Source organism: Homo sapiens, chromosome 5 (assembly GCF_000001405.40).
Source record: "Homo sapiens chromosome 5, GRCh38.p14 Primary Assembly".
Classification (NCBI taxonomy): domain Eukaryota; kingdom Metazoa; phylum Chordata; class Mammalia; order Primates; family Hominidae; genus Homo; species Homo sapiens.
This window is the reverse complement of record NC_000005.10, coordinates 69,387,232-69,400,802: the sequence shown is the minus strand read 5'-3', so window position 1 is coordinate 69,400,802 and position 13,571 is coordinate 69,387,232. Positions and strand designations below refer to the sequence as shown.

The 13,571-nt window shown below is 38.7% G+C and overlaps 1 protein-coding gene across 17 annotated transcripts in view; it reads right to left on the bottom strand.

Annotated features, from left to right (window-relative positions):
• The window catches only part of RAD17 (RAD17 checkpoint clamp loader component), a 45,509-nt gene that overhangs the window by 13,999 nt on the left and 17,939 nt on the right, over positions 1–13,571 (bottom strand). For all 17 annotated transcript variants that reach the window (NM_133343.2, XM_017009681.2, NM_133338.3 and 14 more), the window contains 6 exons: positions 11,658–11,769; positions 8,790–8,972; positions 7,563–7,648; positions 7,303–7,449; positions 4,257–4,406; positions 634–754 (listed from right to left, as the gene is read on the bottom strand). In NM_133343.2, the coding sequence (NP_579921.1) occupies positions 634–754; positions 4,257–4,406; positions 7,303–7,449; positions 7,563–7,648; positions 8,790–8,972; positions 11,658–11,769 (799 nt within the window). The remainder of the gene's footprint in view (positions 1–633; positions 755–4,256; positions 4,407–7,302; positions 7,450–7,562; positions 7,649–8,789; positions 8,973–11,657; positions 11,770–13,571) is intronic.

Genomic DNA, 13,571 nt, shown 5'->3' with positions numbered 1-13,571 from the left:
GCCACCACACCTGGCTAATTTTTTTATTTTTAGTAGAGACAGGGTTTCACCATGTTGGCCAGGCTGGTCTCGAACTCCTAACCTCCAGTGATCTCCCTGTCTTGACCTTCCAAAGTGCTGAGATTACAGGCATGAGCCACTGCACCTGGCCTGTTTGATGCGTTTTAAAAAAAAAACATAAAGGATCCAGAATTATCTGGATCAAAAAATAAAAGGAAAAAAAGTATCTCACTGCATATAGCAATAAATTGGCCCACAAAAAGATATTGCTATAAAACCCTACTTCTGGCCGTGTGCGGTGGCTCACACCTGTAATCCCAGCACTCTGGGGGGCCGAGGCAGGCAGATCACAAGGTCAGGAGATCGAGACCATCCTGGCTAATACAGTGAAACCCCATCTCTACTAAAAATACAAAAATTAGCCAGGTGTGGGGGCGCGTGCCTGTGGTCCCAGCTACTCAGAAGGCTGAGGGAACAGAATTGCTTGAACCCAGGAGGCAGAGGTTGCAGTGAGCCGAGATCGTGCCACCGCAATCCAGCCTGGACAGTAGAGACTCCCCCTAAAAAAATAAAATAAATAAATAAATAAATAAACCCTACTTCTTAAAAGAAAAGAAAAACCTATGTTATTACCTTGATTTCTCATTGGAATGGTTAGTAGAGCAAGGTATGGCAATAGCTGAGTTTGGAGGCATAAAGCTGGTAGGCAGAAGTCAGGAAAAAGTGCTTTTGCTGCCAGGCAATTTTCCCGATACTGTATAGAAAAGAAAAAAAAAAGATGAAAGGAAAAATGAAATTAAAAATATGTATTCCTAGACAAACTAAGTTTATTATATAAACTTACACAATAAGTTTATATTAACTTGTGGGTTTATATATCACAAATATACTTTTAATAGCTTATTTAAGTAGTCCTTTATAGTTTTTTTAGCATCGTTTAATAAAGTATTTTACCTACACAACTATTCCACATTTAATAAACAACAATTTTTAAAAGACATTGAATGTATAAGAAAACCAAATTTAAAACTCAAAGGAATTGTTTATGAGCACACACACATCATAAATTACACGAAAATAGTTTTCAATGAAATAATTTGTTTTCTTTAGTCAACACGTTATGCTGAGCAAGAGAAAAGCACAATCCCTGCCTTCAAGAAGCTAACAGTCTTAGATAATTTATATGCAGCAACAATGCAAAATTAATATATATGCTATAAAAGACAAAGCAAGTCAATGAGATATAAATTGCTTAAAAGTCATTAAATTCTCCAAGAAATCTGTTGGAAAAAATGTCCTAGGTAATAAATTATAGGGTAATTTTCAGCTGTATGATTTTAGAACTGGAAGACATCTCAGAGACGACCCAGTCCAGGGGTCACGAATTCAGATATTACAGAAGTCAAGCAGGCAATATAAGTGAATGAACCAGCTGGGGACAGTGGTGCCTACTACTCTCATCTCAAAGGGGCAGATGCTACATGGCGAGGTGATTGTTGCTACGCAGAAATATGAGCCAGTGTTATACTTCACTTTCATTTTTTTGAGAGATGGGGGTCTCACTCTGTTGCCCAGGCTGGAGTGCAGTGGCACAATCATTGTTCACTGCAAACTCTGCCTCCCAGGCTTATGCAATCCTCCCAATTCAGCCTCCCAAGTAGCTGGGACTAGGTAGGAAAAACAAAAAAAATTTTTCCTTTTTCCTGTAGATATGGGATCTCACTATATTGCTGGTCTCAAATTCCTGGTGTTTGCCACCACACCCAGCTAATTTTTTTATTATTTTTTTTTTTATACAGATGGGGTTTCACCATATTGCCCAGGCAGGTCTCAAACTCCTGGGCTCTAGTGATCCTTCCACCTCAGCTTTCCAAAGTGCTCGGATTACAGGTGTGAGCCACTGCACCTGGCCTCTTTTTTTTTTTTTTTTTTTTAACCAGGAGATTCCAGAAATTCTGAAGCTAGAAATTCATATCTAACTTTTTTTTTTTCTTTCTGAGACAGAGTCTTTTTCTGTCGCCTAGGCTGGAGTGCAGTGGCATGATCTCGGCTCACTGCAACTTCTGCCTCCCGGGTTCACGCGATTCTCCTGCTTCGGCCTCCTGAGTAGCTGGGATTACAGGAGCGCACCACCACACCTGGCAAACTTTTGTATTTTTAGTAGCGATGGGGTTTCACCATGTTAGTCAGGCTGGTCTCGAACTCCTGACCTTGTGTTCTGCCCGCCTCAGCCTCCCAAAAGTGCTGGGATTACAGGTGTGAGTCACAGCGCCCAGCCGAAATTCATATCTGACTTTTAATCATTAGTCTGATTTTTAAAGATTGGCAATTCATTTTGAAAACTGTTGTGTATTTTGTTTTCAACTTGTGTGCCTCCCATTTTTTACCTCTAAATAATTCAATCATCTACATTTTTAGCTGTGGAGAGTAAGAACACATTAGGTGAATACCTTGTCCATATAGAGGCAAGGCCAAGATTTCTTCTCCTTTCTTTGATTAATTTAAATTGACAAATAAGCTCTGTATGTATTTATAGGTATACAACATGATGTTCTGAAATATGTATATATGGTAGAATGGCTAAATTGAGCCAATTAACATATGCATTACCTTACATACATATATTTTTTGTGTGTGGTGAGAACACTTAAAATCTACCGTTTTAGTGATTTTCTTTTTTTTTTTTTAGATGGAGTCTCGCTCTGTCTCTCAGGCTGGAGTGCAGTGGCGCCATGTCAGCTCACTGCAAGCTCCGCCTCCTGGGTTCACGCCATTCTCCTGCCTCAGCCTCCAGAGTAGTTGGGACTACAGGCGCACGCCGCCACACCCGGCTAAGTTTTTTTATTTTTAGTACAGACAGGGTTTCATCGTGTTAGCCAGGATGGTCTCCATCTCCTGACCTCGTGATCTGCCCGCCTCAGCCTCCCAAAGTGCTGGGATTACAGGCGTGAGCCACCATGCCCGGCCATGATTTTCAAATACATGACACATTGTTGTTAATAGTCACCATGTTATACAACATATCTCTTGAACTTAAAACTTATTCCTCCTGGCCAGCGAGGCTCCGTCTCAAAAACCAAAAACAAAAAAAACTTATTCCTCCTGCCTAACTGAAATTTTATATACTAGGGATTTCTATTTTCCAATCAGCATTCTCAGGTTGAACTAGGGTTTATTTATTTACAATTTTTTTCTTTTTCTTGTAGATATGGGATCTCACTATGTTGACCAGGCTGGTCTCAAACTCCTGGGCTCAAGTGATCCTCTTGTTTTGGCCTTCCACAGTGCTGGGATTACAGGTGTGAGCCACCATGCCTGGCCCTAAAGTTTGTTTTTAATTGAAACTGAAATATAACTATGCAGCTGGGCACAGTGGCTCATGCCTGTAATCCCAGCACTTTGAGAGGCCAAGGCGGGCAGATCACTTAAGGTCAGGAGTTCAAGAACAGCCTGGCCAACATGGCAAAACCCCATCTCTACTAAAAATACAAAAATTAGCTGGGCATGGAGGTAGATGCCTGTAATCCCAGCTACTCAGGAGGCTGAGGTGGGAGAATTGCTTGAACCTAGGAGGTAGAGGTTGCAGTGAGCAGAGATGGCACCACTGCACTCCAGCCTAGGCAAGAGAACGACTCTGTCTGAATAAAAATAAAAAATAAAAAATAAAATATGGCCGAGCATGGTGTCTCACATTTGTAATCCCAGCACTTTGAGAGGCCAAGGCAAGAGGATCATGAGGTCCAAAGATCGAGACCAACCTGGCCAACATGGTGAAACCCTGTCTCTACTAAAAATACAAAAAATTAGCCAGGCGTGGTGGCTGGCGCCTGTAATCCCAGCTACCTGGGAGGCTGAGGCAGGAGAACTGCTTGAACCCGGGAGGCGGAGGTTGCAGTGAGCCGAGATCATGCCATTGCATTCCAGCCTGGGCAAAAAGAGCGAAACTCCGTCTCAAAAAATAAAAAAATAAAAAATAAAATAAAATGTAACTACGCTTTGATTCCAATAAAACTGAACTAATATTTTCAAATTGTGATGGTCTTTTTTCCCTTAAAAAATTGTACAAGCATTTAAGAGTCACCTTTTTATGTTTTATAAAAACTCAGAATCTAATTGTGGACCTTAGCAACTATTTTATTAAAAATGAAATATTTTTTCCTTTGTTATGTTTTAAAGAAAATAACTGCTTTGAGTTATAATTCACGTACCATAAAGTTCACATATTGAAAGTACAGAATTTTTTTTTTTTTTTTTACCTTTTTATTTATTAGAAACCACTGAGGTTTGTGCAAGGGTCGAAAACTTGATCCTCCTCCTTGGCAATGAGCATATCCTCGGGCTTTGTTGGAATGCATCACACCTCTCGTAGCTATAGATGTGCTATATTCCCTGAGTAAAGAGCGTGTCTAACAAATGAGACAAGATGTGAAAGAAAATAGATTTATAAAAGAGCATTACTGGTATTCCTGATATATACAAAAATACTAACCGTATTTAGTTTCTATGTGTTCACTTTCTTCAACATCACTACAGCCCTATAAATAACAGCACTATAAACTTATCTAAAGCAAATTCCACTGGGACATAGCCATCAAATTAAATGTGTAAACCCTGACTGGATCTTGGACAGGGGTGGAGGAAACAACTTTGAATACATTTTTGAGGCAAATGAGGAAATCTGAATAGGGACAATATATTGCTAGATTAGTGTGAAGTTTCTCTGGAAAGTTAACTTAATTATATAACTAATTAGTTAATGTAACTAATTAGTTAATATAACTAAAATATAATTGAAACTAAAATATGACTATGCAGCTGGGCGCAGTGGCTCACGCCTGTAATCCCAGCACTTTGAGAGGCCAGTTATATCAACTAGTTATATTTTAGTTTCAATGGGGTATGATAATGCTATGGTAGTTGTAATAGAACAATGTCCTTATGCTGCTTAAGTGTCACGATGTTCGCAATTACTAATACTTTCCAATTATTCAGCCAGAAACAAATACGTAAATATATAGAGAGATTAAGAAAAAGTGGCAAAATATGCAAACTGCTAAACAAAAGTTAAGGATATGCAGCTATTCATTGTACTATCATTTTTTTTTAATTTTTAATTTGTGTGGGTACTTAGTAGCTGTATATATTTATGAGGTACAGGGGTCATTTTGATACCAGCATACAATGTGTAATAATTACCTCAAGTTAAATGGGGTATCCATTACCTCAAGCATTTATCCTTGGTGTCACAAACAAGTCAATTATACTCTTTTCGTTATTTTGTATTATTATTTAAAATAGGGTCTCAGTCTGTTGCCCAGCCTGGAATGTGGTGGCACGATCACAGCTCACTACCACCTCAAACTCCTGGGCTCAAGTGATTCTCCCACCACAGCCTCCCAAGTAGCTACGACTACAGGTGCATGCCACCATACCCAGCTAATTTTTAAAATCTCTTCTAGAGATGGGGTCTCGCTGTGTTTCCCAGGCTGTTCTCAAACTTCTGGCCTCAAGTGATCTTCCTGCCTTGGACTCCCAAAGTGCAGAATTACTGGCAGGAACCACCACTCCTGGCTCATTGTACTATCCTTTTAATTTATTTATAGGATGGAAAATTTCAAAATAAGAAAGAAACAATTATTTTAAAAGTTAAGCAAATTCAACTGCTGAGTAATGAAGCTCTATAACATAAATGGTTTTTCTGTGTCTTTCCTAATTTTACTTATTACTGCTATTTCAATTTTTTAATTTTTTGAGACAAGGTCCAGCTCTATTGCCCAGGCTGGAGTGCAGTGGTGTGATCTCAGCTCACTGCAACCTCTGCCTCCCAGGCTCAAGCCATCCTCCCACCTCAGCCTCCTGAGTAGCTGGGACCACTACACCCAAACAATTTTCTTGGTATTTTTTTGTAGAGATGGGGTTTCATCACATTGCCCCAGCTGGTCTCATACTCATGAGCTCAAGTGATCCACCTGCCTCGGCCTCCTTAAGTGCTGGGTTTACAGGTGTGACCCACTGAGCCCGGCCTTATTTTAATATTTATAGCACACAGAAATATTAACGTATCAAAATAGTGTCGTCCAACAGAACGCCCTGCAATGATGGAAATGTTTTGTATCTGGGCTGTTCAATAAAGTAGCCATCAGCCACATGCAGTTATCAAGTACTGGAGATGTGGCTAGTATGACTGAGGAACTGAATTTTTAAATTTAAATGTAAATAGCTACATGTGGTTGGTGGCTGTTGTACTGGTAAGGGCAGTGTTAAGATGTTAAGAACAAAATACAAATTTTATGGTAAATAGTTTCAAATATGTAAAAGAAATAAATTTTAAAAACTAGCAGAAAGTGTAGCAACATGTACAGTTCTTTCTCTTGTATCTACTTCTTAATGGTTGTCATATTTTGAGTATGTATTAATTTTAAAATCAGAAAATAAGCTGGGGCTGGGCATGGTGGCTCACTCCTGTAATCCCAGCACTTTTGAGAGGCCAGGGCAGGCAGATCGCTTGAGCTCAGGAGTTGGAGACCAGCATGGGTAACATGGTGAACCCTGTCTCTAAAACAAAGAAAAAAAAATTAGCTAAGGATAGTGGTGCTTGCCTGTAGTCCCAGCTACTAGATGGGGAGTGCCTGAGGTTGGAGGATCGCTTGAGCCCAGAAGGTCAAGGTTGCAGTGAACCATGTTTGTACCACTGGACTCCAGCGTGGGCAAAAAAGTAAGACGCTGTCTCGAAAAAAAAAAAAAAATAAGCTGGGCATGGTGGTGTGTGCCTGTATTTCTAGCTACTTCGAAGGCAGAGAGGACAGGATTCCCTAAACCCAGTAGTTCAAGACCAGACTGGGTAACATAGCTGTAGATAGAGCCTCTTCTCAAAAAAAAAAAAAAAAAAAAAAACCACCATAACACAAAACACAAAATCAGAAAATTTAGAGACAGGAGTGTGGTGGCTCACGCTTGTAATCCCAGCACTTTCGGAGGCTCAGGTGAGAGGACTGTCTGAGCCCAGGAGTTTGAGACCAGCCTGAGCAACACAGTAAGACCCTGTCTCTACACACACACACAGAAAAAAAAGAAAAAAAGAAAATAACTTTAGAAACAATTGGTGCTATATTATCAGCAGAAAAATCAGATTTGCTACTGAAGCTTCATTATAAACACTGAGTTGGTTACATTAACTTTAGCATAGTTATGAAGAAAAGTCACATAAAATAATGTCAGGCAATTAGGGATAAAAGTAAACTTTCTTTTCTTAATTCTAAGGAAATACTATAAACATAAACATTTTAAGTCAAATGGTCTTACATTCCAGTCACCACTGAGGATATCTGCAAAACTCAGAAATTCACTGGCTCTCACAATATCATCAATTTCCATGAAGAAATCTATGTAGTTTTGGTGAAGATATAAATTAAATAAGTCTCCAGGCATGTGTGACATTTCTACTACCTCCTATAAAAAGAAGCATATATACATAAATTTGGTAAAAATGCAATGGTCAAATATATATGCACACGAATAATATATCCTTTGTAACCTATACTAAGTGTCATCAAAGAACTTACCTCAGGTTCAACAAGTAATGTATCCCGTTCATATTCTGATAAATGAGAGGGCAACCGAGGTGAGTCTAATTCTGTTAAAGATGCTCCTATAAAAAATTTCTGGAATTATTAAAGATAATACCTTCTTTATAATTATATAGCACCTCTCATTTGAAGAGTTTGAAAATTTTAGACATACAATACCAACATAGTAACAAACTGTTAAAAAATAATAAATAAATAAAAAACAACTGGAAGCAAGCACCTATTTTTTCCACATTAGCAAGAACTAAATTAACAATTCTGATGCTTAGATTATGGCTTCTCTAGACTTAAAATATTCCATTTCCTAATGCACTCCCATTTCACCTTTTTCAGCTTTGGGTTGCTTTCTTCCCTTGATTTCTCATCTCAATACAGTGGTCTTTACTCTTTTATTTACTATGTAGGAAGATGTTGCTCTCTACATGAAAGAATACGAATTCCATTCACTAATGCAAGAGACGATAAACGTATGTTGGGGAGGAAAAGAAAGGAGAGAAAGAAAAGAATCAGGTGGGAATAGTCACTCAGGTTCAAAGTAAGAGGATCCAGTGACAGAGGAGTGTCCTCACTGCCACCTAAGTGATGCCCATTTTCCTCAGATGGTATGAAGGTTTCCATTTAGAAATCCTAATTTCTTTCCTTTAGGGTCATCAGACTGAAAACAGGCATTTGCTATCAAAAGGAGGGATTATTTGGGACACTAAAATGGGCAATAGGGAGTGAAAGAACTGAGGGGGAGCAGTCATCAAAAAAGACAGAAAAGGCGATAAACATCTCTGGTTGGGGAGACAGAACGCTTGTAAATTAGAGAAATACAAGACGATTGAAAGAAACCTTAAACTACCTGGTAATTTGTATAAGGCTCTGTTGGCTGGAGCCCAGTGTTAAGAGGGCTTTAGGCTACCAACACTTGCCACTACAAGTCTAGATGATCTGCTCTCTTACCTTCAGCAAACTATAATTTTAAAGATTTACACACATGGATATGGCCTGCAATTGCATGTTTTTACTTTTAATCCTGCTTACGGTCAGAAAATATTCTGATTTCCTACTATGTCTTAGGCCTAGGCAAACAGTATCTGACCTAGCTCTAACTCTTAGAGCAGAACCAAAATACATGACATTTTTTTAAAAGTGACATTTTATTTCCATTTTAAGACTATGTGATATCCAACAGATTTTAAAAGTGTAAAAATTTCTTACTTTTACAATATAGAATTTTCCCCAAAGCTCTGAAGAGAAACAGAGAAACATCTTTGCCACCAATAGCTTGGACCTCTTGATTTTCAAAAACCCTATCAGGTTTTTTTCTTCGTTTTGATTTTGACAGCACAGCATCTGATTTTAAAGACATTCCTTTTTTCCTTGGCCGTAAGTTGTTTTCTCCTGAATAATATACATCCAAGTGACAATATTTAAATTAAAATATGAAAATTAAAACTAAGAACACTTCAGATATAGTTACACTAAATATTCTAATTACAATTTGTTTTCCTAATAAACAAAAATTATAAATGACATTAACTGAGTTGGAATCCTCTTTGGGTTACTAACATTAAAATGGAATAAAGTATTATCTGAAAGTTATTTCATAATGCAGATTTCAAACTTTCACATGCACAATAGCACAATCTCTAATATAGGCTGACATTCCTGATCCAAAAAATTCAAACTCCAAAATACTCCAAAATATGAAACTTGCAGTGCCAACATGATGCTCAAAGGAAATGCTCATTGGAGCACTTTGTATTTCAGATTTTCAGACAAGGGATTTTCAATTCGTATAATGCAAATATTCCAAAATCTTAAAAAAATCTGCAATCCTTCTATTCCCAAAAATTGCAAATAAAGGATATTCAACCTGTACAGTCACATCGCCTTGGTTTCTCATCGTGTTATGTGCAAGATACTGTTCTTGGCATGTAATACATAGGAATTTAATCTTCATAACAACCCTGTGAAGGGAGAATTTTTTTTTTTTTTTTTTGAGATGGAGTCTCGCTCTGTTGCCCAGGCTGGAGTGCAGTGGTGTGATCTCGGCTCACCACAACCTCTGCCTCCTGGGTTCAAGCGATTCTCCTGCCTCAGCCTCCCGAGCAGCTAGAATTACAGGTGTATGCCCGGCTAAATTTTTGTATTTTTAGCAGAGATGAGGTTTCACCATGTTGGCCAGGCTGGTCACAACCTCCCAACCACACAAATTGGCCTCCCCAAGTGCTGGGATTACAGGCATGAGCCACCATGCCCGGCCTTTTTTTTTTTTTGACACAGGGTCTGGCTCTATCACCCAGGCTGGAGTACAGTGGCACAATCATAGCTCACTGAAGCCTCAACCTCCAGGCTCAAGTGATCCTCCCACCTCAGCCTCTCAAGTAGCCGGGACTACATGCACCACCATGCTGGCTATATATATATATATTTTTAATTAGAGACGAGGCCTCGCTATGTTGCCCAGGCTGGTATCAGACTCTTGAGGTTGAAGCTTTCTTCCACCTCAGTCTCCTATAGTGTTGGGATAACAGGCGAGAGCCACTGCACCTGACCAATTATTATTAGACAGTTAATGAAATGAGATACAAAGAGGTAAAGTCATTGGCTCAAGGTCATCAGTGAGTGAATGACTGGAATCCAGGCAGCCTGGTTCTGCAATCTATGTTTAACAACCTCTCTATTGATGTTGAGAGTATCCAATTTATGAATATGCATGTGATCACATTTCTTGGGTTTTTATTTTTTTTCCTTAATTTTTTTGTAGAGACAAGGTCTTGCTATGTTGCCCAGGCTGGTTTCAAACTCCTAGGCTCAAGTGATCCACCCACCTTGGCTTCAGGCATGAGTCACCATGCCTGACCCAAGTTTCATTTTTAAGTCTAATATTTAGAACTCAAGAGTGCATGGCTTAAAAGCTACCTTGAACAGCAGAAAGAGCACAGGATCTGGATTTGAATCAAAATACTGTCTATCTCATCAGGTTGATATGAGAATTAAATGAAAAAAACATAATTGCTAACACAGTTCCTGGCCCACTCTTTGATGTCAATTATCAACGTTAAGCATTAAGTAGTCTGCTAAATGCCTTCTGAAGGAGGACTATGCAGTAAACGATGACCATTACAGTAAAAATGTAACTCACTGCCATTAGTGAAACTATCTTTTTACTACATCTTTCTACATATTAACAGGAAATTTATTAAACATATCTCATAAATTTATACTTTTTAACATTAACAGGAAATAAATTTATTAAACATATCTCATAAATTATTATAAAAATAATTTCAGGCCAGATGAGGTGGCTCACACCTATAATCCCAGCACTTTGGGAGGCCGAGGCGGGCGGATCACGAGGTCAGGAGATCGCAACCATCCTGGCTAAGACAGTGAAACCCCATCTCTATTAAAAATACAATTAGCTGGGCGTGGTGGCAGCTGCCTGTAGTCCCAGCTACTCAGAAGGCTGAGGCAGGAGAATGCTGTGAACCTGGGAGGCGGAGCTTGCAGTGAGCCAAGATCATGCCACTGCACTCCAGCCCGGGCGGCAGAGCGAGACTCCGTCTCAAAATAAATAATAATAATTCCAAAAGTAAACCTACCTCGGCACAGTATTATTAAACTGATTAATGGCTGGCCATTTATGAACACTTAATATGAATCAAGTACTGTAAGAAGCACTCTATAATAGTGTCACCTCACATATTCTTCATAGAACCCTAAGAGGTAAGTGCTCACATAAAAGGTGAGAAAACAGAGGCACAGAAAGATAAGAGTCACCTGCATAGGCCTATATAACTGGTAAGTGGCAGAGGCAGAATTTTTATCCAGGAAATCTGGTTCTAAGTTAACTTTGAAAGGTAAACTATCTCAAACAGAAACAAGGATATATACTACGACATATTCATAGAAGGGTATGTATGCATGTGTATATATTTAATTTTAAGCCACTGTCTCAGTAATAAAGAAGGATAAATAGGTATAGACCAAATGTAAGTTAAAATGTTTGATTTCATTGAATGAATTAAGAGAAAGTCAGTCACCTATATAATGCCACATGACTGTATCTTCCATAGTTACCTTTTGAAGAAGAAAACTGGAGGCTGTTTATTGCACTTCTGATATCACCAGAACATCCCTGACAGAGCAACTCTAGAGAAGTTTTGTCAGGGACAGTAATTTTTCCTCCATTCTAAAATAAGAAAATTAAATTTAAAAAAAAGTATTTTCTTAAAAATAACAACAACAAAAAACCCCAACCTATTTTCTAAACTTAATTAACGTAAATTAGATTCTTTTAAACTTAAATACTAAAAAGGGCTGGGCACGGTGGCACATTCCTATAATCTCAGCAATTTGGGAGACTGAGGCAGGAGGATCACTTGAGCTCAGGAGTCTGAGACCAGCCTAGGCAAGGTAGTAAGACCTTATCTCTACAAAAAATCAAAACAATTAGCTGGGCATGGTGGCATGCGCCTGTAGTCCCTGCTACTTGGGAGGCTGAAATGGGAGGATCACTTGAGACCTGGAGATGAAGGCTGCAGTGAGCTATGATCTTGCCACTGCACTCCAGCCTGGGCAATAGAGCCAGAAAAAAAAAATTATCTTAAAATAGTAATAAAAAACTAAAAAGCCTTCATGCTAAACACTGGTCTATGAATGATACAAGCTTCAATGACTTATTACAGTTTAAGGTATACTTTCAGGAAATATTAAATACTGTATTATTTTACTTTTTCACTTTGACCAGGTTGTATTTTGAAGTTTTTACTCTTTCTCACTACATACACACAGATATATAACAACATATATGTGTACACACAAAAAAACCCTCAAAATGCAACAGACTGTGATAAAATTAAATATACACAAAATAATCTAACTAATTTATGAAATTTACATGAAAATTCCTTTACTGGGGTTATACATTATACAGTCTGGTGAGGATGAAAAAGCCATAATTACACCAATTATTTCTTCTTCTTCTTTTTTAAACCAGAGCCACTTGAACTAATCAATTCACTAAAAAAAAAATTTTTGTTTTGACACAAGGTCTTACTATATCACACCTGGGCTGGTCTTGAGCTCCCAGGCTCAACAAATCCTCCCACCACTGTCAGCCTTTGTAGCTGGGACTACAGGCATGCACCATGGCTCAATTTGCAGTTCTCATGCTTATAGTAGAGAATGTAGATGTTTTTTTAGAGACAGGGTTTAGCTCTGTCCATGACAGACTACAGTCATTTCATCTAGATCACTGCAGCCTCAAACTCCTAGGCTCCAGCGATCATCCTGTCTCAGGCTTCTGAGTAGCTGGGAATACAGGAGCACACCACCATGCCCAGGTAATTTTTTTTCTTTTTTTTGGGATACAGAGTTTTGCTCTTGCTGCCCAGGCTGGAGTGAAGTAGCGCAATCTCGGCTCACTGCAACCTCCACCCCCTGGGTTCAAGCTATTCTCCTGCCTCAGCTTCCTGAGTAGCTGGGATTATAGGTACCCGCCACCACATCCGGCTAATTTTTGTATTTTTATTAGAGATGGGGTTTCACCTGTTGGCCAGGCTGGTCATGAACTCCTGACCTCAGGTGATACACCCACCTCGGCCTCCCAAAGTGTTAAGATTACAGGCGTGAGCCACCGCACCTGACCCATTAAATATTTTCAAAACACTAATAGCATAATAATTCATCACAGTAATTGCTTCCTGTATTATTGGACTCAGTTTGTTTCTCATTTTTCACTATTAATATCTGTTATTTATTCAGTTAGGTGCTCTACACTAACGTATTTAATCCTCAAAACAACCTCTCCCTTGGATATTTCCCTCAGTTCCTGTGGTCCTAGCAGTGCAACAAAAATTATGTTTCATGCAAGATTTGGTTGATTTATACCAATAGGATTCCCTAAAACCATGACGCTGGGAGCAGAAGGTCCATCAATTTTTTTTTAACATCATCTTGATTTGAAATACAGAAAAAATGACGTACTAAAAG